The sequence below is a fragment of the Homo sapiens genome, chromosome 5 (genome assembly GCF_000001405.40).
Source record: "Homo sapiens chromosome 5, GRCh38.p14 Primary Assembly".
Lineage (NCBI taxonomy): Eukaryota > Metazoa > Chordata > Mammalia > Primates > Hominidae > Homo > Homo sapiens.
The window spans coordinates 90491720-90515027 of NC_000005.10; the positions used below are offsets into that span (position 1 = coordinate 90491720).

At 35.4% G+C, this 23308-nt stretch overlaps 1 protein-coding gene across 12 annotated transcripts in view; it reads left to right on the plus strand.

Moving 5' to 3' along the window:
• Nucleotides 1-22838, plus strand: part of POLR3G (RNA polymerase III subunit G) — a 40629-nt gene extending 17791 nt beyond the window's left edge. For 5 of the 12 annotated variants that reach the window (NM_001370354.1, XM_011543101.4, XM_017008957.3 and 2 more), the window contains exons 4-8: nucleotides 3958-4014; nucleotides 5937-5987; nucleotides 10187-10269; nucleotides 14809-14955; nucleotides 20334-22838. In NM_001370354.1, coding sequence (NP_001357283.1) covers nucleotides 3958-4014; nucleotides 5937-5987; nucleotides 10187-10269; nucleotides 14809-14955; nucleotides 20334-20420 — 425 coding nt within the window. In that variant the 3' untranslated portion in view covers nucleotides 20421-22838. Of the gene's footprint in view, nucleotides 1-3957; nucleotides 4015-5936; nucleotides 6017-10186; nucleotides 10271-14808; nucleotides 14956-20333 lie in introns of those variants that run through there. The other 7 variants (XM_047416634.1, XM_047416635.1, XM_047416633.1 and 4 more) reach the window with 3 other exon arrangements.
• The last annotated feature ends 470 nt before the right edge of the window (nucleotides 22839-23308 follow it).

The window sequence follows — 23308 nt, forward strand, 5'->3', positions numbered from 1 at the left end:
TTATTTTTTCTCTATATTGAAATACCTTGCTACTTTATCATCATACATATTATCTCATCACTATTCATCAGACATTCCCCACTATGCTGAAAAAAAGAATAAATTTAAAAAATGGGAGAATGATGAAATTGACTGTGCAATTCAAATAAATTATCACTATTATGTCATCATATAGTTTTCCTATGGTGTTGTCCAAAGCATTACATCTGTTTTTTAAGAAGTTATAAAGTCTTCAGAGACTCTTATGTTTGTAGTTGCTCTGTTTTAATTTTCATTTAATACAATTGAAAATTTCAAAAATTTTTAATTTTTTGCTCATAATGTCTAAAATTGACAGAAAAACATGTTCCACAATTCTTAGACGAATCAGAAGTCAAATGCAAAGAGATAGATAGCTCTCTGGATGCTCATGATGATGATGAAATTGATTGTATAAGCAAAATCTCAGACTGTGAGTCTTCAGATGACAGTGTCTTCAATGAATTTTCTCAAATTCAAGAATCAATGAGTAAACACTGTATCTCCAAGAATTAAAAAGGAATTATGGTGGCCTTCTACAGTCAATCTTTGAAAAAGAACTCATCATGTAATACTTTGTAACAAAAACCTGGAACATCCTGTTTGCTAAAATGAGACGATCATTTTTGTTCTATGATATTTGTGCACCAAAATTAATTTGATGTGTTTTGTAACTGACAAATGCTGAACATAAAGGCAAAGACAACAATGATTGAAAGGAAATTGATTATATAGACATGAAATTGTTTTCTGGATTGATTGTGTTAACTGGTGATTATAAATTTAATAATGAAAATATTTTGCAAGTATAGAGCAAAGAAGATGGCTGGGCCATCCTCTCTTCAATAGAAGTATGAGACATCAGCCGGGCGCAGTGGCTCACCCCTGTAATCCCAGCACTTTGGGAGTCTGAGGCAGGTGGATCACGAGGTCAGGAGATCAAGACCATCCTGGCTAACATGGTGAAACCCCGTCTCTACTAAAAATACAAAAAATTAGCCAGGCGTGGTAGAGGGCACCTGTACTCCCAGCTACTCGGGAGACTGAGGCAGGAGAGTGGAGTCAACCTGGGAGTGAGCCGAGATTGTGCCACTGCACTCCAGCCTGGGCAAGACTCCGCCTCAAAAAAAAAAAAAAAAAGTATGAGACATCAAAGTTTTTTAAAGTATTGCATTTTGGATATGTAAGTACAAGAAGAAGAATTGGAAGTAGTGATAAGCTAGATTCTACTAGAAATGCATTTATAATCTGAAATTATTTAGATGATACACATATGAGAAAACCAGAGGAAATTATAAGTTAGAACCTATTAAAGATGTCTTTGGAATCTGGGATCAGGACGTACAGAAGGCATATATTCTAGGTTTGTATGTGGCAGCCGATGCACAGAAAACTGCATTCAAATGACTTTGCCCATTTTGGTTAAATTTACCTTCAAAATCAGTAAAACATGTAATATAAATTTGGATTTGCTATACTTAATTGCTTAGTAAAATCTCCAATAACTTTATTTATTTATTTTTATTTGAGACAGGATCTCGTTCTGTCACCCAGGCTGGAATGCAGTGGCATAATCTCAGCTCACTGCAGCCTCCACCTCCCAGGCTCAAGTGATCCTCCCACCGTAGCCTCCCAAGTAGCTGGAACCACTGGCATGAGCTACCATGCCCAGCTAATTTTTGCATTTTTTGTAGAGATGGGGGTTTCACCATGTTGCTCAGGCTGGTCTCGAACTCCTGGACTCAAGGGATCCAGCTGCCTTGGCCTCCCAAAGTGCTGGGATTACATCCTGAGCCACTGTGTTGGGCCTAGTTTTATTGATTTTTAAGTAACAGCTTTACTGAGACATAATCCACTATATAAAATTTACTTTTTAAAGTGTACAATTCAGTGACTTTTAATATAGCCACAGAGTTGTGCAATCAACACCACTATTTAATTTTTTTTTTTTTTTTTTTTTTTTTTTTTTTTTTTTTTTTTTTTTTTTGAGACAAGAGTCTTGCTCTGTTACCCAGGCTGGAATGCAGTGGCATTATCTCAGTTCACTGCAACCTCCACCTCCTGGATTCAAGTGATTCTCTTGCCGCAGTCTCCCAAGTAGCTGGGATTACAGGCACGTGCCACCACACATGGCTAATTTTTTTGTGTTTTTAGTATAGATGGGGTTTCACCATGTTGGCCCGGCTGGTCTTGAACTCCTGACCTATTAGCAATCTACCTGCCCCAGCCTCTCAAAGTGCTGGGATTACAGGTGTGAGCCACTGTGCCCAGCCACTATCTAATTTTTTAGATGCTTTTCATCATCTAGAAAAGAAATTCTGTACCCTTTAGTAGTCATTCCCTACTCTCCCTCCTTCCAACCCATGGCACCAGAAATCTGCTTTCTGTCTCTAGAGATTCCATGTCATATAAATGGAATGATGTAACATGTGTCTTTGGCTTCTTTCACTTGCCATAATGTTTTCAAGGTTCATTCATGGCTTAGTACATATGAGTGCTTCATTCCTTTTTATGGCTGAATAATATTCCACTGTATGGATATATGCCACATTTTGTTTATCCACTCATCACTTGATGGGCATTTGGGTCAGTTCACTTTTGGGATTACATGAGTTATCTTGTCATAAACATTCATGTACATGTTTTATGTGAAGACATGTTTTCATTTATATTGGGTATATACATAGGATCATATGGTAACTCTGTATTTCACATTTTGAGGAACTGCCAAACAGTTTTCTAAAGTGGCCACCCGATTTTACATTCCCATCAATAATGTATGAGAGTTCCAATTTTTCCATATCCTTGCCAACATTTCTTATTTTTTTTTTATTCTAGCCATCCTAGTGGTTGTAACACAGTATCTCATTGTGGTTTTGATTTGAATTTCCGTAATGATTGGTGATGTTGGACATCTTTTCATGCTTTTTGTCCATTTTTGTATCTTCTTTAGAGAATTGTCTATTCAAATCCTTTACCTCTTTTTAATTGGGTTCCAATAATTGGTTTTCAATATCTGTTCTTTTATCTGTTATCTTTTTTATTTATTCTCTGTATTTCATTATTTGAAATTAACTTAAAAATATTTTAAAATATAAAAAGTGGTCTACTGTACCCAGAGAAAAAGGGTAAAAACTGTTTTTTTCCGGTATACTGAGGGTTAAAATTATTTAAAATATGGAAACTGTTTTGGAGAAAATTCTTAAAAAGAAGTCATTGTGTTACAAATTCTAGGAATCTCTCATTTGTGCTGACTTCGTTTTATAGATTAAAAACTTGGCAAGATTAGTTAAAACATTTTACCTGAAGTCAAACAGTTAAAATACCTAGAAAAACCTGATCTCTTGGTCTCTGATCTACTACTTATTTTGGTTATCTTTCTCTAATACGTGGTTGTATTATTTGGAAGCATATACTTGACATAGAAGAAAAATCAGTATATATTTGGTCCTTGATTTTTATCCATTCATCTTTAGTATTACCTTCCCTTTTTCATGCCTAACTCCTGAACTACTTTTTATGATGAACATGGCTTCAAGCTTTTGTGTGATAGTGTTGCTTTCCAACTTGTGCTGCTGGAAAAGAGTTTGTGCCCTCCTTAAGGGTGTTTCTTGTGATAAGGTGGACTAGTCTGAATCAAGAGCCGCAGTTATGGCTTTACTGGTTTTGGCAAGCTCAGAGGGTTCCTGCAGAGTTTTCAGCAATTGGCATGTAGGGCTTGCAGCTTGCTCATTTATGCCTCAGATCAGTAACCCCTCACCAAGTCCATCCTTGCCTACCCCTACCCTTTTTCCCATTCTCTTATGTACAAAGGTGGGAAACTCCCTGTATGTAAAATTAAAAATGTTGTCTGTTGTTTTCAATAATCTTAAAGGAATGGCTTAAGTTCAGGGTTACTGTTGATTTTCCTAATGAGTTCTTTATTCTTTTTTCCCCTAGATATTGAAAGGTATAGTAAAAGATACATGAAGGTATACAAGGAAGAATGGATACCAGGTAACTACAAAACACACAATATGAAAACAGTTTTTAAAGGCTGTCTCTCTCACCTCATGTTTTTTTTTTAGAATAAGTTTTCTATTTTTACCATAGGAAAACTGAGTCTGGTTCTTTTATTGTGATTAATTAGTAATCTGTTAGAAACTAAGGTGAAAAGATTTTTATGCTAAAACAAGGAAGAGTTGAAGTGCTTTTGTGGAAGTTCTTAAAATATATATATATGTATATTTTATTTTATTTTATTTATTTTTTTGAGATGGAGTCTTGCTCTGTCGCCCAGGCTGGAGTGCAGTGGCACGATATCGGCTCATTGCAAGCTCCACCTCCAGGGATCATGCCATTCTCCTGCCTCAGCCTCCCGAGTAGCTGGGACTACAGGCCCCCGCCACCATGCCCAGCTAATTTTTTGTATTTTTAGTAGAGACGGAGTTTCACCGTGTTCGCCAGAATGGTCTTGATCTGACCTCATGATCCGCCCGCCTCAGCCTCCCAAAGTGCTGGGATTACAGGCATGAGCCAACACCCCCCACCCTTAATATACATTTTTTACAAAAATAGGACAGGCCAAACAAACCCTTTGAATTTTCCAATTTAATTAGCCACAATCACAATTTTAATTTGTAATACCAGAAAGCACAAATACTATGCTCCTGAGCAATTTTAGAGCATTTGAAGAGAAAGCAAAAATCTCGTTTTAAAGATATTTTAAGCCAAGCTCATGGATCTTCCTTTCTTTTAAGCAGACATAGACTAGTTTTAGTTGTTAGGCTTCTTCAAAAGAACCATATCCAAAAAGAAGCTTTACCTTGGGTATGGACAAGTTAGAAGGGTCTGTAAAGGAGATCTCATCCCACTCATTCATTTTGCAAATAAAAACAGTTGTCATAGAAATAAAGTGACCTGTCAGGCCATGTGGCCAATACTGTTAGAACCCAGGTCTTCTCATTTTAATTCACATTCTTTTTATGTCTCTGTCCTTGGTCTTTTATGGAAACTCCCCTTATGTAAAAACATAGATGGCATTAACAGCCTTATCATTTTCACAGATTATAGTACTATCTTTTCAGTGTTGGTAAGGTTGGGGCACCCTGGAAACAACTTAGGTCTCTCATTTCTTCCGTTTCATTAGTATTCATCTCTCAAATGATTCTCTACATATTCCGTCATGATCTAAAATGAATAGCTTATAAAAACTAAAATATATTCAAAGCAAAATTTATTTTTCAGGTAAAATGACTTGAGATTTAAATGCTTTGTAAAAATGCTCCAAATTTTCTTTAAAAGCAGGCAATATTTTTAAATCAACTTTTATGTTGCTTCCATTTCCTGTTTAACTCTATGCTTAAAAATTAAAAGAAAGTGACACATTAGAGGAATTATTTAGCTAATACAAGCAAAATTATTTATTGGAGGAGATTTGTTTTTGACAGCTATTTATATTTTTAATTTTAAAGTTTTCAGATATTACAATTGTTTATTTCATTTTGCATGTTTTGGGATTATGGTAACATCCTTTTGAAAAAAAAAATTTGTTGCATAAGAAATATATCAACTACAGAATATATCAACTACAGAAAACTTATGAAATATAAAGTGGTCAAATAAATATAAATAATACTTAAGAAAAACTGTCATAATTCCAACACCCACAAATAATTACCATAAGGTTTCCTTCACCAAAAATTTTATAGCACTATTTCAGAGCTATTGTAATAAATTTTCTTTATAGGAGAAAATATATCATTGTCTGTAATATTTGGATTTGGTTTTTATATGTTTCAAGCTAAATTTGTAAAGTCAGATACTAAGGCACTTTATTGTCATTTTCTGGACAACTGTTGTGTCCTTCAAATAGTTATGTTCAATGCCACAAATTCCTAGAGGAAACTGCAATTTTTTATTTTTTATTTTATGTACAGATTGGAGAAGACTTCCAAGAGAGATGATGCCAAGAAATAAATGTAAAAAAGGTACATTGACTAATATAATAGTAATTCAGGTAGGAAAAGGTTATTTCTTACATTCTGTTAATATGGATTTGTCAACCCAAAGTTATACTCACTGTTCTTAATGCTTTTCTTATTTTGAGCCAGACAAGGGATCTCATGCCTGTAATCTCAGCATTTCGGGAGGCTGAGGTGGGAGGATCACTTGAGCCCAGGAGTTTGAGACCAGCCTGGGCAACATAGTGAGAACTTGTCTCTACAAAAAGTTAAAACAAGTATTAGCCAAGTGTGGTGGCATGCACCTGTAGTCCCAGCTACTTGGGGGTCTAAGGTGGGAGGATCACTTGAGCCAAAGAGGCAGAGGCTGCAATTAGCCTAAACTGCACCACTGCACTTAAGCCTGGAAGACAGAGCAAGACCCTGACACTCTGTCTAGGACACTGACTCTCTCCCTCTCTCTGTCCCCCCATGTATGTGTGTGTGTGTGTATATATATGCATTATAACTATTTTGCTAAAGCTTGTTTTTTGTTGTTTGTCTTTTGGGTGTTTTTTTTCTTAGTTGTTGCCTTTTCTTTGTGTATGTCTTATTTTTTAATTTTTAAATGTTTTATCTTTTTTTAAATTTCTGTGTTTATTTTAGATACAGGGGTACATGTGCAGGTTTGTTACATTGGTATATTGCACTCAGGTAGTGAGTGTACTACCTAATAGGTAGTTTGTTAACTCACTCCACCCCGTCCTCCCCTCCCGACTTTAGTAGTTCACTGTGTCTGTTGTTCCCATGTTTATGTCCATGTGTGCTCAGTGTTTAGCGCCCACTTATAAGTGAGAACATGCAATATTTGGTTTTCTGTTCCTGCATTTATTCACTTAGGATTTTCCTTTAGTTATGGAATTGTGGAGCTGCTAAGAAAGACTTTTCAATTATTGTAGACCTTTTCATTTGCATAACTGCAGATTTTTTATTATACTGGCTACATTATAAATTATTAACTAAAACATTTTAAAATTGGGAAACCAATAAAATGGAGCTTTATGTTGTATAGAAGAATGCCAAAGTGAATGTTTACAGTTTGTTTTTCTTTAGTAATTTCATTCAGTAAATAGTTATCTATTATTGCCAGACATTGTGCTGACAGGAATAAAACTGAGCAAAGTGGGAATAATCCTTGTCCTCATGGAGCTTGTAGTCAAATGGGGTAAAATCACTAAAGAAAAACACACTGTCCTCATTGGGAAGGGTTCTTTGAGGACATGGAATTGGAGTTGAGATTGAAGGATGAATAGGAGTTTACTGAGACATAGTTGTGGGAGAGGAAGTAGGGAAATACCAGGTTTGTGAGAGAAAATCAGAAGTTCAGTTCAAAGATGTTACTTATGGTTCCTTTGAAATATACAAATATAAATGTTAAATATATTCTTGGATACAGGGGAATGGACCTCAAAATGGAGATAGCAGTCATTATCAGAGATATGATCATTGAGACCAAGAGAAAGGATGAGATGGTCTAGGGCAGAATTAGATAATTAGAAGAAAGGAGAGCCTAACCCTGAGCTTACAGGAATGCCAACATTTAATGGGCTGGTAGAGGAGATTGAATGGCAAAGAAGGGAACTGGAAAGAGAGAGGGAGGAGGAGAACCAGGAGAGCAGAGTTACACAAGGTAGTCTGGTATTTCGGAAGGTGGTCAACAATGTTAAAAGATGTTAGACATTGCTGCTAAGAGGTCAGATAGGACGAAGACTGGAAAATGTTCACTCGTTTTTGACATGTTGGTTATTGTGACCTCAGTGAGAGCTTTTTGAAAGATTCACTGAGGTAGAATCCAGATTGGAATGGCTTAACCGGTAAATGGAGCTTAGGAAATGGAGACAGCTAGCATAGATGAGTCTTCTTAGAATTTTGCTATGAAGAATGAAGAGTGAAAAAGGAAGGTAGTCAGAGAGGTTAAGAACAGTGGGGTTATCAACTAAGAGAAGAGAAGAGAAGGAATTCCTATTCCCCGTTTTAACACCTTTATTGAGATATAATTGACATACAATACAATGCACATATTTGAAGTACATACACAATTTACATTTTTTGCACATGTGTATTTAAGGCAGAGTATTTTTATTTTATTTTAAAGATACAGTATATAATCATATTTAGCTTGCATAAAGAATATTTTGAAATATGACAATTTATCTTCTGTCTTTTATACCGTTGGTTTTTATTGGGCAAATATATTATTTTCATAATAAAATACATGTGCATGAATGATACTGGTCATGTCCTAGAGGATCACACATCTGTAGTTGACTTTAAAGCTGAGAAAAATGTGTTCATTTTGGAAGAGTTAATGTTTTCAAATATGTTATCCCTGGGATTTTATACCCACATTAATCAGTAAAAGCTCCCAAAGTGTCAGGATTTCCATTTGTTAATAAACAAAGCAACAATGAAACTTTCTCATTTTGCTCTAGTATTTTTTATTACATATTGTGTAATTTTTATGTCTTGTTTCTGATAAGCTTGTACTGTCCTTTATGTTAAGATGTCCTCCATTAATTTACATGGAAGTAAACAGTAACAACAGAGTCAAAGGCTGAAAACAGTTGTTTCTTGAAGAACCAGCTACTGCCATGTGTTAAAAGAAACTATTCAAATATATGCAGATACTTGGCCAAAGATGGAAAAAAAAAATAAGTTTACTTACCTGGCCATATTCTCTAGTATCCCTTCAACAAAGGTTTATGTTATGAAATTAAATAATTTGATAAAAAGTTCTTAGAAAAAGACTTCATGATGTAAGTAGAATACATTCTTAGCTAATGTTTTTTGGCATTAATATTATAATAATTTATTGAGATCTTGTTCATATGTGATGCTATATTTTATGTGTTACAGTTCATATTAAACAGTCTTTGCCCTCGAGGGGGTCAGAGAAAGTTACCCATCATTAAATCTAACTATTACTTTTGTTTGAGAAACCTCACTAATACATATGTTTGGGAGCTCTGAGCTCAGTAATTCCCCAAGGGGCAATTCAGTATAACACAGTAAATTGTAATTCCATCAGTTATGGGTCATCTACCACAATCTAAAAATTTTCTTTTGTAGGTTAAATGTTAATCTTTAACAAAATTACATCTTTCTGAGCCACATTTTCCTCTTACAAAGTAATTTCTAAGTGTTTAGCTTTATTTTGGAAAAGAGCTGTAATACTCTTTGACCACAATGGGACAATTTTGTAGCCTATCATATTGCTTCGGTAACTGACTGGCAGAATTTATATGTGAAATACTTCTCTAGACCCTGCACTTTCAGAATAGCCTCAAAATGCAATATTTTTGATAGGAGTAAAAAAAATAATTATGTAGCCCAAAGCCATTACAACATTTTATTTCACTTACATGCTTTTGAGTTTTCAGATTCATATGATGAGTATATTCAGTTTATTTTAATCTTTATTCCAAAGATACTTCTGTGTTGCACTGTCATCTCTTTCACCATTGGTAAATGAACATATTTGAAGTACAGACACTTTACATTTTTTGCACATATATATTTAAGGCAGAAGTATTTTTATTTTATTTTAAAGATACAGTATATAATCATAATTAGCTTGAATGCAGAATTTTGAGATATGGCAGTTTATCTTCTGTCTTTTATACCATTGGTTTTTATTGGGCAAATATTTTCATAATAAAATACATGTGCATGAATGATACCAGTCATGTCCTAGAGGATCACAAATCTGTAGTTGACTTTAAAGCTGAAAGGAATATTTATCCTGCACTTCCTTTTTATTTTACACACCTGCTAAGATTCCTCTGGTTAAAATGAAGTACACTTACCAGTGAAGGAGAAGCCAGTGCAGGTGGATTTGTGGGAGCCTTTCACTATACTCTTGGTACTTCTCTATCTGAGGCAACATTTTAGCAGTTTTGGCCCTAATGATATTAATTGCCAGTACCAATGTTCAGAACTAGTAAAAAATATAGTTAACTTCAGTCTTAAAAAAAAAAATCCTACTACGTGATTATCATTTATTCATCATCATTGGAAAATTGGTGAGGTATGATTTGTTTATTCTTTGAGAAAATTAATTTACTCTGAAAACTATGTGACTGCCTAGGATGCAGTAGCACGATGCTGGACAGCATACGCAAAGACAAGGAAATATAATACAGAGTTGCAGTTGCAGAAAAATGTGTTAACTGGTAGTTTTACTTCAGCAGGCCCAAAACCCAAAAAGGCAAAAGACGCAGGCAAAGGCACACCACTCACTAATACTGAAGATGTGTTGAAAAAAATGGAGGTAAGGTTTTCTTCTTACTATACAAGTGAACTGAAAAAATGTAAAAGATCCTACCTCGTTTTGCTCTGTTTCAACCTTTCAGCATTCTCTTACTTTTTAATAATGTAAATTTGGCAGAAGCGAGCCCAACATATAAGGTAACTGGGAAGGTTTGAACTTTGCAGGCTGGGAGATATGGAGGGTCTGTCCTGTCCTTCGTTACCACTCACCTGGCCACTTACCTCACCTTCTGTCACCTCTTTCTTTTTCACTGTATCCCCCTTTCCGCTTATATTTGAATCATGCAGGCAGAGAGAAACATGAACAAGTTTTAAAAAGAGTTACATATGTAACTCTTTTAAAAACCTCTCATTTTTCCTCCTGTTGGTTAATATGTACAGTTTTAATGCTTTTTTTTTGGTCTTAAGTATTGAAGACTCTTGAGGGAAAAATGTATTTTATAGAACTTATTTTTATAGCTTTCTTTATCTAAATATTTCAAAAATAAAAAAATGTAGATTCAGAAGGTTAAAGCACTGAAAATTTTAAAAATTTAATTTTTCAAAAATAAAAAATGTAAGATTCAGAAGTTTAAAACACTGAAAATTTTCCCTCCTATTCCTGTCCCTAGTCATCCAGTTCCCTTCCTATAGACAACCAATGTTACTAGTTTCTTATGTCTTTTTTCAGAAGTATTTCATACATAGCAAATACGAGGTTTCTTTTTCTTTTTAAAGACAGAGATAGCATATTACATTCTGCGTTTTCATTTTATCACTTAACTGAATACCTTGGATGTGGTTCCATATAAGTCTGTGTAGAGTTACCTCATCCTTCTTTTTTTTTTTTTGGCTGCACTATAAAAATGAACTGTAATTTATTTAATTAATATCCTACATAATTGGATATATGGACATTATGTTTCATCTAGTGTTTTGCTGTTATTAACAATGCTGCAATGAATTCATGTTAAGTATGTCATTTCACCTGTGTAGGGTAGATTTCTAGAAGTATTTGGTCAGTACATAAATGTGCACTGTATGAAATGGATAGCTATTGTTACATTGCTCTTTATGGAGGTTATACCAATTTACTACCGTTATCAATGCATGCATTGTCTTGCCTTGGTGATGATGATGATGACAGTAACAGCTAACACTTTATTGAAACTTATTCTGTGCCAGCCTCCTTGATGAGCTCTTTACATATGTTATGTCCATAAGAGTTCATAACAACAAGGAGAGGTGGATATTATTCCTTCTTTACAGATGAGGAAGTCAAGGCTTTAAAATTTTTACTTGCCTGGCCAAGTTGGCACAGCTATTTGGTAGTGGAAACTCATATTTTTATTTTATTATTTGACCAGTACTGGAGTTAGAGACAACATGTCTGAAAAATAAAGCCAGAGTACTGATGAAGGAGCAGTGATAACTGTCAGGTTTAACTATGGCGGAATGATGGGAATGCAGTTCTAGCCAGTTTGTATTGACTGAACTCAGGTTCTGGCTATTCTAAAAGCTTCCTGGAGAAAACTTGCTAAGATGACATGTGCCGTAAGGAAGATTGATCTGGACCTCTGGGTTTCTCCGTGTAACAAACTGTGTTTCCATATTGTCTACATTTAAACACAATTTTCAGGACACACACTGGAAAAACTGGAAATTTAAATCTAGAAATACCAATGAGTTTAGAAGAGCAAAAGTTGTTCCCAGATGACTTTCTTATTGCTGATTTTTTCAGCAAAAGCAGTTCCAAGTTTTTTTTATAATAGAGCATTCGTGGATGGAGAGGGAGTGACATACATTCAAATCTCATGATTAATGTGTGAGTAATTAGTGGTAAACTAATATCTGAGGTTTCTTATTTCTGCATAACAGGAGGCTCTGTATGGTGGCTGTAAGGCTGTATAATATTTAAACCAGAAGAACTGCTCTCTGTCCATAATTGAACACTGTTTTCAGTATCTTTATATTATTCATTTTATTCTTAAATCTGTAAAGTAGTAAAGTTAGATGGTTAAATCTCAACAGGAGAGAAAATGGAGACTAGTAAGTAGAAGAGCTGAAACTAGTAGCTTAATGCAAAAGGAATGAAGCAATGAGACAATATATGTGGCTTTGAGATCAATTTTTATTAAAAAGTTGCATAAATCTACTTTTAACCTATTTTATGAGTCTGATTTAGATCTGTGTGGTGGAAATAAAGATGAGGATTTTTTTTTTTAAAGGTATTTGAGGTAGCAATAATAGAAATAGAGACTTCCTGGTTCCTATGTGGCACTGAATGAATACTGTATTTAAAAAGTACTTTTGGCCAGGCGCCGTGGCTCACGCCTGTAATCTCAGCACTTTGGGAGGCCGAGGCGGGTGGATCATGAGGTCAGGAGATCGAGACCATCCTGGCTAACACAGTGAAACCCCATCTCTACTAAAAATTCAAAAAAAATTAGCTGGGCGTGGTAGCAGGCGCCTGTAGTCCCAGTTACTCGGGAGGCTGAGGCAGGAGAATGATGTGAACCTGGGAGGTGGAGCTTGCAGTGAGCCGAGATCGTACCACTGCCCTCCAGCCTGGGTGACAGAGCAAGACTCCCATCTCAAAAAAAAAAAAAGTACTTTTACATAACTGGTTTAAATAACTGTGTTCTTAATTATAAAAATAAAATAATAGCATGTTTTTTAGATATAGTGTGTACCCTGCACAGAGCTAAATAAATATGGCACTACAATTTCCTATTAACTATACAACTTATTGGTTGCAGGTCTTTTTACTGTGATCTGATTAAAATAGTAAAAAAATATAATATTAACATACCATCAAATATGTGTGTGTATATCTTATTATAGATGCTGCAAAAGATCCATAAGCACGATTTTCTTTACTTGCACTTTTCCAAAGGGATTGCCAGTTGGAAAAATTGCACACATCATATTGTAGTAATAACTCATATAAGACAACATATGAGTCAGTATCAAGATAAATCATCTTATGTCTGTTACCTTGGTCTTATTTGTTCTGCCTGAGTGGGTTAAGCAGACAGGAAAGGTGGAGTTTGAATTTTGATTAGAAATTGAGCCTATCTAATGTAGTCTCTCTGTTGTCTTTGATTTCCTTAAATTCAAATTTGAATTTAATTACAAGGATTTTTAAAGATAAGCGTTTAAGAACCAGTAAAGGAATAGCTAAGTTGTAGTTACTCCAGATATAAAATCTGCTTTCTCTCTATATGTAATCTACAAAGCAAATACCTTATAATAGAGATGGAGTGTTTGCAGATTCATGCATTAGTATTCCAATTTCTGTTTAGGAATAATCACATTTTAGCTGAGGTGACTTATGCCTTAATTATGCGTATTAATATGTGAAATTATTGACTCCTGGAAAACTTGTGAAATTCTATCATATGTGCAAATTGAGCATAGTACAATTTAGTGAACAGATAGTGACAGTAATGAAAATAAGTCACTTTTTATTAAATGAAAAAAATTGTTGGTAGTCATAATAGAAATACAAAGATGTAATTTTAAAGTTAATTTTGTGTACTATTCCCTGATGGTTCCACTTGTGGATAAGTGGGACTCTCATGGAATCAAAGCTTTCCTAACTCTGCATCTCTCTTTTGTCTTCTCTTTTAGAATTCCTAATAATTGCTAGTATTGACTGTGATTTGAGTTTTAATTTCTCTCTTTCTTCTCAATCTGCCAGATATATTAAGAAACAAGAATTCCTGGCAACAGGAAGTAAATAATGAGAGAGAAAAAAGATAAAGACACAGATAAAATGCAACTAGGATAATCTAACCCAGGATGACTTGCTATTATAATAATAGTATTAAATGGCCTCATGTATAAAGTGAAACATAGACATTTTGAGATAATACTATTACCTTATTTTTCCCCTTTTATGTTAGAAGGAAAACAAAATAACATTCTAAAAGTTCTCCATAAACTAAGTCACCTCAAATATTTTAGAAGGAGGTAAGATAGACCACCAGGTACTGTGGCTCATGCCTGTAATCCCAGCACTTTGGGAGGCTAAGGTGGGCAGATCTCTTGAGACCAGCAGTTTGAGACCAGCATAGCCAACATGGAGAAACCCTGTCTCTACTAAAAAAATTAGCCAGGCTTGGTGGTATGCACCTGTAGTCCCAGCTACGCAGGAAGCTCAAGCAGGAGAATCACTTGAACCCAGGAGAAGGAGGTTGCTGTGAGCCGAGATCGTGGCACTGCACTCCAGCCTGGGTGACAGAGCGAGACTTTCTCTCAAAAAAGAAGGTAGGAGATAAATTATAAAAAATAAAGCATTGTGCATTAGAGCTGATAAGCCCAATATTAATCTGAAACCCAATTATTAAGTAACAAAATCAAAGAAAATGCTGGTTTAGTGGTGAGACAGTAAATTCCTTCTTTCTTGAGTTGACTCATAGTTTCCTAGGTGGTAGCCAGGAGGTGGTGGTAAGATGGGAGTAGAATAAGGTGATAGATAACTGTTCCCTTAAGGCTAAGCAGGGAAGTCAGCAGTCTAGTGGTTTCCATACAAATTAATGAAACTCACTTATACCAGGAATTGGAAAAAAGAGGTGATGGTGAAAAATCAGATGAGGAAAATGAAGAGAAAGAAGGAAGCAAAGAGAAAAGTAAAGAAGGTGATGATGACGATGACGATGATGCCGCAGAACAGGAGGAATATGATGAAGAAGAGCAAGAAGAGGTAATGGTTCATTTGGGGATGGTAGCAAAATTAATAAGGTTTATCTAATAAGGAATCAGATATAGAGTATGTATTGAAATCAATAAACAGAAACCAAGATGATGGGAACCAGAAGTATATTATTATCAATGGCATCGATTCCTTGCTATCAAGAGAACTTCCTTGCTATCGAGAGAACTATTATAGCATTGAAATTATAATGATGTCAAATTGAATATAGGAAATAAAAATGATTGGCAACTTTGTAAGTATAAATCTGCAAGTTAAGGAGATTGATCAGATTAGTGCAGTTAAGATTTAACAACATAAAAATTTAAGTCAGCAATTCAGGTAACGGAGGGCTTAACCACCTAGGTCTAGAGGAGAATCCCTGCAGTGTGTTTCAAATTCCAAAGTGCATGTGGATACTATCAGAGAAGATTGATAATTTAACCTCAGGTATCTGGCTGAGTCAGGACTCTGTGTTTTCCATTTGGGATGTCTAACTTTTAGAATGAAATGCACATAGTACATTTCAGAATTAGCTGGAGTCAATCAGGTATTTTTAGTAGGGTAACTTTGCAGACCACAGCCTCTTCGGGACTTTGTAGACACCTCAGACCGTAACCCTAGGTGGAGAGTTTCTTCTCCATTCTGGTGACCTTTGTCTTCATTCCATTTCAGCCTCTTATACCACATTCTCAAATTTTGCTTCTCTGGAAACTTCCAACTATGAAATCTTTACTATAATTATTTTGCATTAAATTTGGTATTCTTTTGAAATTTGTATTAGTATAAACAGAGAAGTGTGGATACATTTTTTATCTGTTTCCAAGTGGCTAGCCAGCTGCTAACCTCATTTCTTAATTTGCTTTCCTCGTTGATTTTGAAATTCTTCTGGTATCAGCTATTAGATTCTCATTTCTACTTCTGTTCTCTGTTCCATTGATCTATTTTGAACCAACACTAAGCTGTTGCAAGTAGTAGAAGCTTCTGATTATTTGTTAATGTTGGTAGGGTATGTCTTCCTTCCTATTCTTTTTTCACAATTTTCCTGAATATTCTGTCTATTCTTTCAGATACATTTTAAGTCTAAACATTTAAAAATTAAATATGTCACATTTGTGGTAGATCACATTTGTCTCCAGCCTTCTTTTCAGATCATTCATGTTTTTATTTCCATTGCTCTCTGACATGATTGAAACTGTCAGTACTTCTGATCATCTCTTTCCCCTTTATTGGTTCTCTGTTTTAATTTTCTTTTCTAAGAAACTTAGACCCTTGCTCGCCCTTCATCTTCTTTTTTGCCATTATTGTCTCTTGTCCTCCCAGCGCACACACTAGACCAAAGCCAACTTTGATCATTTCCATTCTCTACCTATTTTCCCTTTCAAATCTGACCTATTGAGCATTTCTTGGGAATCACAGAAATTGATGCCCCTCAAAAAACACTAGCCCCATTTTGCTGGATAACATGTTTTCTGTTTTTAAGTCAGCTCTCTACAGCAATTATTTTTGATCAACTTCTTTCTTCTTATTTCCCTTTGTTTACTACCTTTTCTTTCACTCTTAGCAGGTGATAATACCTTCATACGGGAAATGAAGTCATCAAGAGGAAACTCTATTAAATTTCATGTCCTCTGCCTTCAAACTCAGTGTCTTCCTTCCTCCTCCTCTTTTTTTTTTTAATCAAGGGAGGAAATCCCCTTTATCCTATTTGGGGCTAACGGCCCTATCCTTTTTTGGAACCATAGTCCTCCAGTCATTTCCCTTTCCATATTTTTAACCTCTTTTTCTGCTTGTCTCTTCCATTCATGAATGTTCATTTCCCATTGTAAAACATGTTCATTTCCCATTGTAAAATATGTTGTCCACATTCTCCCTCATGCCATCTCTTGAAAAGCTTCTTTAGCTGTCATCACCCCTCCCCCTCCCCCACCATTAGCTCTTTTCAATCTTAGTTTCACCTCCATCCTATTCAAATAATTGCTTTTGACAAATAGAAGTAGCTTAAAGAAAGAAATTATTGCTACCACGCTCACCATAGACAAATTTTAGCCTTTATGTCACTTAACTTTTTTGCAGCATTTAACACTTCTGACAGCTCTATTATTAAAATATTATTTCCTGGCCAAGCGCAGTGGCTCACTCTGTAATCCCAGCACTTTGGGAGGCCAAGGCGGGTGGATCACGAGGTCAGGAGTTCAAGACAAGCCTTGCCAACATGGTGAAACCCTGTCTCTACTAGAAATAAAAAATTAGCCAGGCGTGGTGGCGGGTGCCTGTAATCCCAACTACTTGGGAGGCTGAGGCAGGAGAATCACTTGAACCCAGAAAGCAGAGGTCGCAGTGAGCTGAGATCGTGCCACTGCACTCCAGCCTGGGCAACATATATATATTTATGATTTCCTTTATTTAAATTCAACAATTTACAGCAATTATATGCATCTTCTATATGCCAGGCATTGTGCTAATTGCCAAGTCTTAGACAAACATGGTTGCTTCCCTTAATTTTTGTTACATAATGCTTTTCGTTTTTCTCCTATTTCTGGTACATTTTTATGGTCTCTGGAGTTCTTTCTAGTCTTTAAATGTCAGTATTCTTCAGGGCTCTTCCCTCGGGCTTCTTTTTCTTGCTGTAATCTCTCTGATTGCATCCCTCCCCATAGTTACCCTGTATAAACATGTAACTCCTCAGTTCTTTTTCATTCAACCTATAGTAAGTGTACACTAAGTATATGCTTGGAATTGTACTAGGCAATGGGAATATGAAGATAAGATACAGTTCTTCTCTCAGGGAAATTACTAGAGAGACAAAAAAGGTAACAGTTAATATACAGTGAATAATGCTGTGATACAGTAGTACCGGATGCTATAGCGGCATATAAGAGATGCTGTGGGCACACCAAAGTCTATTTTAGGCATATCAAAGATGATATTTCAAAGAAGACAATTTAGGTGATCTGAAGAGCTAATCAGATCAAGATAGGAACATGGAATGGAGTGGACACTTGCAGGGAGAAAAAAGAACATGGAGAGAGGCTTGCAGGTGATGGGAGTGTAGCTTCTTAATTTAACTGACCAGATAAATCGGTATGGCGGGACTAGAGGGTGTTAAGTGGGCTTGTGTTGAGAGATGAAGCTGGAGAGATGAGCAGGTCATTAAGGACTTTGAATGTCAAGCTGAGAAATTTGACTTTATCCTGAGTACTGTGGGGAGCATTGAGGGGTTTTAAACAGTGGAATGGTATAATCATGTTTATATTTTAGAAAGCTCAGTTGCTTTGAATGGAAGAGCCAAGTTTGGGTCATATTTGAAAGCTTATTGCTGTAAACCAGTGGTTTTCAATACTCTTGAAAGGATATTTGGTAGTGTCTGGAGATATATTTGGTTGTCACACTGCCATGGGGGTAGTAGGGTGGTGGTGCTATAGGTTCTAGTTTGTGTGGTCAATACTCTAGACAAGACTGGCATTTGCAATGCTCTGTTGACAATGTCTGCTTGCACTGAGTTCAGGATCAAGACCATCCTGGCTAACACGGTGAAACCCCGTCTCTACTAAAAATACAAAAAATTAGCCGGGCGTGGTGGCAGGCGCCTGTAGTCCCGGCTACTCGGGAGGCTGAGGCAGGAGAATGGCGTGAACCAGGGAGGCAGAGCTTTCAGTGAGCCGAGATCGCGCCACTGCACTCCAGCCTGGGTGACAAGAGTGAGACTGCGTCTCAAAGAAAAAAAAAAAAGATTACTAACGTCACACAATTACCAAATTTGAATCACTTAAACAGAACTTGGAGGAGGTACTCATGTCTAAAACACAAGTGACATATGCTTGATTTGGAATACTAGAGTATCCCTTCCTTATTCATCTCCACTTTATGTACAAATCGGCTTACTTTTATTTCTACACAAGTGTTCTTGCCAAAGGTCTCCTTTACAATGAGACCTCATTTGAACTCTCAACCATGCCACCCTCCCCTGGTACACAGGCCCCAAGCTTCACCCAGGTGTCTAAATATTGCCAAATTTTTTTGGCACCAGAAAAGCCAGGCCAACTTTCCAGAGATGGGAATGGTCTTAGCTGAATGCAGAAACTTAAAGTATCTAGGGAAGAAAAAGTAATGAGATAACTATCTAAAGAATGCATATACAGTGAATAATGCATGTTACCTTTCTTGCATTATGTAAATATATTAAAAATCCCACTATCCAGATTTAAAAAAAAAAAAAAACTTTGGAAAAAAATTAGTAAAATTGATAGGAGACTTTCTTTTGAGAGTAGTCTGTATTTCTTACTATAGATAGTAGAGATGTGGACATTAATTTCTTATTATAGCAGATCTCAATCATGTGCAAAAATGTAGTGACTAGTAAAAGAAACACCCATGGTCTTATCACTCAGCTTTAACAATGGTCAATTCATAGCTAATCTTTCAACCACTCATTCATCTACCCAATCCCTCCCTGTCCACCCATCCCATTCCCCGTGCCCCATGTGCCTTGGATTCCAAAGAAAATCCTAGGCATCGTATCATTTCATCCACAAATATGTCAGTATGGATTCAAAAATAAGGGCTCTTTAACAACATCACTGTATCATTATAACACCCCATACAATGAAATATAATTCCTTAATTTCATCAAATATCTGGCCAGTATTGAATTTTCTTGGTTGTCTCAAAAAGTTTGTTTGTTCCAAACAGAATCCAAATACAATCCATACATTGCAACTGATTAATAACTCTTAGGTTTAATTTATATCCAAAGTGGATTTTTGATTGTAAGATACTGGAGGCCCGGAAAAATAAATAAGAAAGTAATATTTGAATTTTTGATAGAAAGCACAGATATTTTCTGAGTTATTTGCATGGATGATAGTCTTATTCAGCCACAAGAAAAAGAAACTAAGAGGTCCTAGATAGAATATAATATAGGCATCTTTTGGATTTGGTTTGGTATCATGCCTTTTTTTTTTTTTTTAATAGGAAGTAAAAGTCTTTCTGGCTTATGCTTAGTTATGTTTTATGACTAAAAATCTCAGTACTGGTGTAGTCTAATGGATGTTAATGTAAACTGGCTTTTTTTCTTGTCTGTGCATTTTTTGGGTAAGTGTTTAGTGGTTTAGCTAACTAAACTATGTATCATCCCAGTAAGCTGTAATGTGTTAGTAGCTATATTATCCTATTGAGATGGTATGGGCAACCCTTCATGTTCTCTTAGCTAGTTAGTGCCTGACAAGAGTGGAAGGTGGTGGTCTTAAGGAAGAAAGCGGCACAGGTAAACACAAGTGAAAACTGTTGTGTTTTTGAAGCAGATAAAAAGCAGAGACTTTTAGGCCTGGAATATTTTCTTACTACTCATTCATTTTAACGTTTACAAAGGAATATATCATTTCACTTAGGAAAATGACTACATTAATTCATACTTTGAAGATGGAGATGATTTTGGCGCAGACAGTGATGACAACATGGATGAGGCAACCTATTAGGCATGAAATTTTTCAAAAAATATTTTTATGATGCAGCTTCTGAACATTTGGACAGACTTGATTTGTATTTTATTTCTGATAAGGAATAAGTACTTGTTTCTGTTGTTTTGGACAAATAGTTGTTACCAAAATATTCAAAACCACTTTGAGTTTACATACTAGTTACCTTAAAAATTATTCCCTGACACTCTGACATTCCTTCTAAACACCTCTGCCATCTCTCTTATGTACTCTCATGGGTTTTTTTGTATGATTTGAATATGAATGTGCCTAAAGAATTTTTGCTCTCTTAATCTATGTATACATACTTGAACAAATCATTCTTGCTTAACTGCTGATCTTTTGTAAAACTATTGCTAGTCATAATGGATTTCTATAACCTGAAAGTTGATATAATACAGCACGTGGAGCACTTTAAAAACAAAGAAACTTGAAAATAATTTTATTTTTTACCTTTACATGGTGTGTTCTAGACTACTGCATTATGACTACATAAACCTACCTGAGCTCTTACAAGTACAGAATTGTGAGACAGAGGTTTTGTGATGGAAAACATACACATAGGGAAAAATACCAAACTGAGCAATATAAATTTCACAGCTCACATCTTAGCCAGTACAAAGAAACTTTCACATGGGGTGAATATTATAATACTTGAATTTGAGACTTAATACTGTATATGAATTAATCATCCCACTGTAATAACTGACATCTTCAAATAGTTGGGCTTATGAAAAATTTGACTAAGACATTTTATTTTATACTTTATGTAAATGTGAAATAAGTTCTGGTCATATAAATATGTAGAATGCATGTGTGTGAACTCTATGAAGTGAAGTGTGGTGGCCTTTTATGTTTCAGAGTACTCAAGTGTACAATTGATTTATATAAAAATGCAAAATGAACTCAGGTCATTTTGAAATTAATATTAATATTTTTGTTGTTTAACTTTAAAGCTAGCTCCCCTAACTTTATATATTTTTTGGGAAAAAATACCTAAAAACCTCAGCCTACAAAGACTCTCAGAAATGCCAAAGATTTTCAAGGAAATTCATATTATATATTTCAAAAATGATTTATCAATGTTATCTACCAAAAGAAATAATTTTATTTTTCCCCTTTGGGGAGATATTATCCTCTAATATGAGAATCAGATCCCTAGATTCTATTTCTACCTATACTATTAAACTCAACCTTGAACCTGAGCTTGGTTGTTTCTGTGCCTTAGTTTCTCCACTCGTAAACAATTTCCTATAAAAATTGTTTAAACACCAACCAAAATTTACCATATGTATTCATTCTCTTGCCTTAAAGATCACTTCTTAACTTACATTTGGCTCTCACCCTCTAAAAATTTGTAGTTTGGAGAGTAACTGAAAGCACAATTTTAAGAAACATGTTTTCCTCACAAAATATATTGTAATCTGATTTTCCTATCTTGTATTCATGCAGAAAATTGGAGAAAATGTGTATTGTCTTGTGCCATTCTGCAATATGAATTTCTCAGGAAAAAGATGTTTCAATGGCAATACTTTCTTAAATAATTCAAGATGGGTGTGAGGACCTATCTTATTAGTTTAGTGCTGTGTTAACCATTTGTGAATTACTTCTTGTTTAAAGGAAGTTGTCAAAAAATTTTAAGATTCTAAATGGAATACACGAATAAAGTAAGCCTTAGAATAGAAACCTCACAAAAAGTTGTCATTTGCGGTTGATAATTAACATAGGTGTTTTATTCTCTCAACTCCTTAGTACCAGAGCCAAATACAATTTAGTTTTCAGAAATCTTATCAATATTGTTCTATTTACCTACTTATAAATCTGCAGATAACCACTTGAACCAGGCAAATACACTGAAGATAAAGGTTATTTCTTTTTTTAGCTTTGAATTTGTCATGACCATTTTAGTCTTGCAGATAGCAGGGCAGCCCCTTGGGGCAAGGATTTACTCTGGGAGGTACCGTTAAGAGCCTTCTTTCCCCCTTTGAAAGATCCTTTTACAATGTTAAAGTATACTAGTTGCAAGAACAAGCAGGATTTGCAGGTTGCTTTACCAGCATGAGTCTCATTTTTCTGGCTTAAAATCTGGGACTGTGAAATTATTCCATAGGAAAGTGAATGTTATTTTGCAGAATTAGCCTCTTACATAAAAGTATTTGTTGAAGTGTCTTTAAAATTGCTATCATGAGCAAAACTGGTTGCTGTAATGCTTGTTTTTCTGTATTTATTTACACATTAAATTCTTACAAAACAAAATGTGTTCGTTTGTTTTATAGTAAGATGTTTTATTTTGAACTTATTTAAATGTTTATTTGTTAGAGAAAACTAATTTGTTAATATAGATCTTAACTAGTAACTATTAAGCAGGGATGTTTGTTCCAAATATTCTTGAATAAACAATCACCACAAACAACAAAACTCTGGTTAATGATTATTCAAAAAAGTTGTTGTGAGATGGGCATGCTGGTCTGTGCCTATAGTCCCAGCTACTCGGGAGGCTGAGGTTGGAGAATTATTTGAGCTCAGGAGGTCAAGGCTTCAATGGGCCAAGAGGAGGCTGAGGTGGGAGGACTGCTTGAGCCCAGGAGGTCGAGGCTTCAGTGAGCCAAGATGGCAACACACACACACACACACACACGAGTTATGATAACTTAAGAGATTTGGCAGACAATATAATTTAGTGTGATCATTCATGCTTGGGCTGACTTATAGTGGATACCAGAGAATGTTAAGACATTCAGAAGATTCTTTTTAAACTTTTCACTTCACTACCTTCAAATGTACAGTGTCGATGGCTTTGCCTTTACATGGTTAAAATCTCAAGCCCGTGTGGTGGCATGTGCCTGTAGTCCCGGCTACTTGGGAGGCTCACATGGGAGGATCAGTTG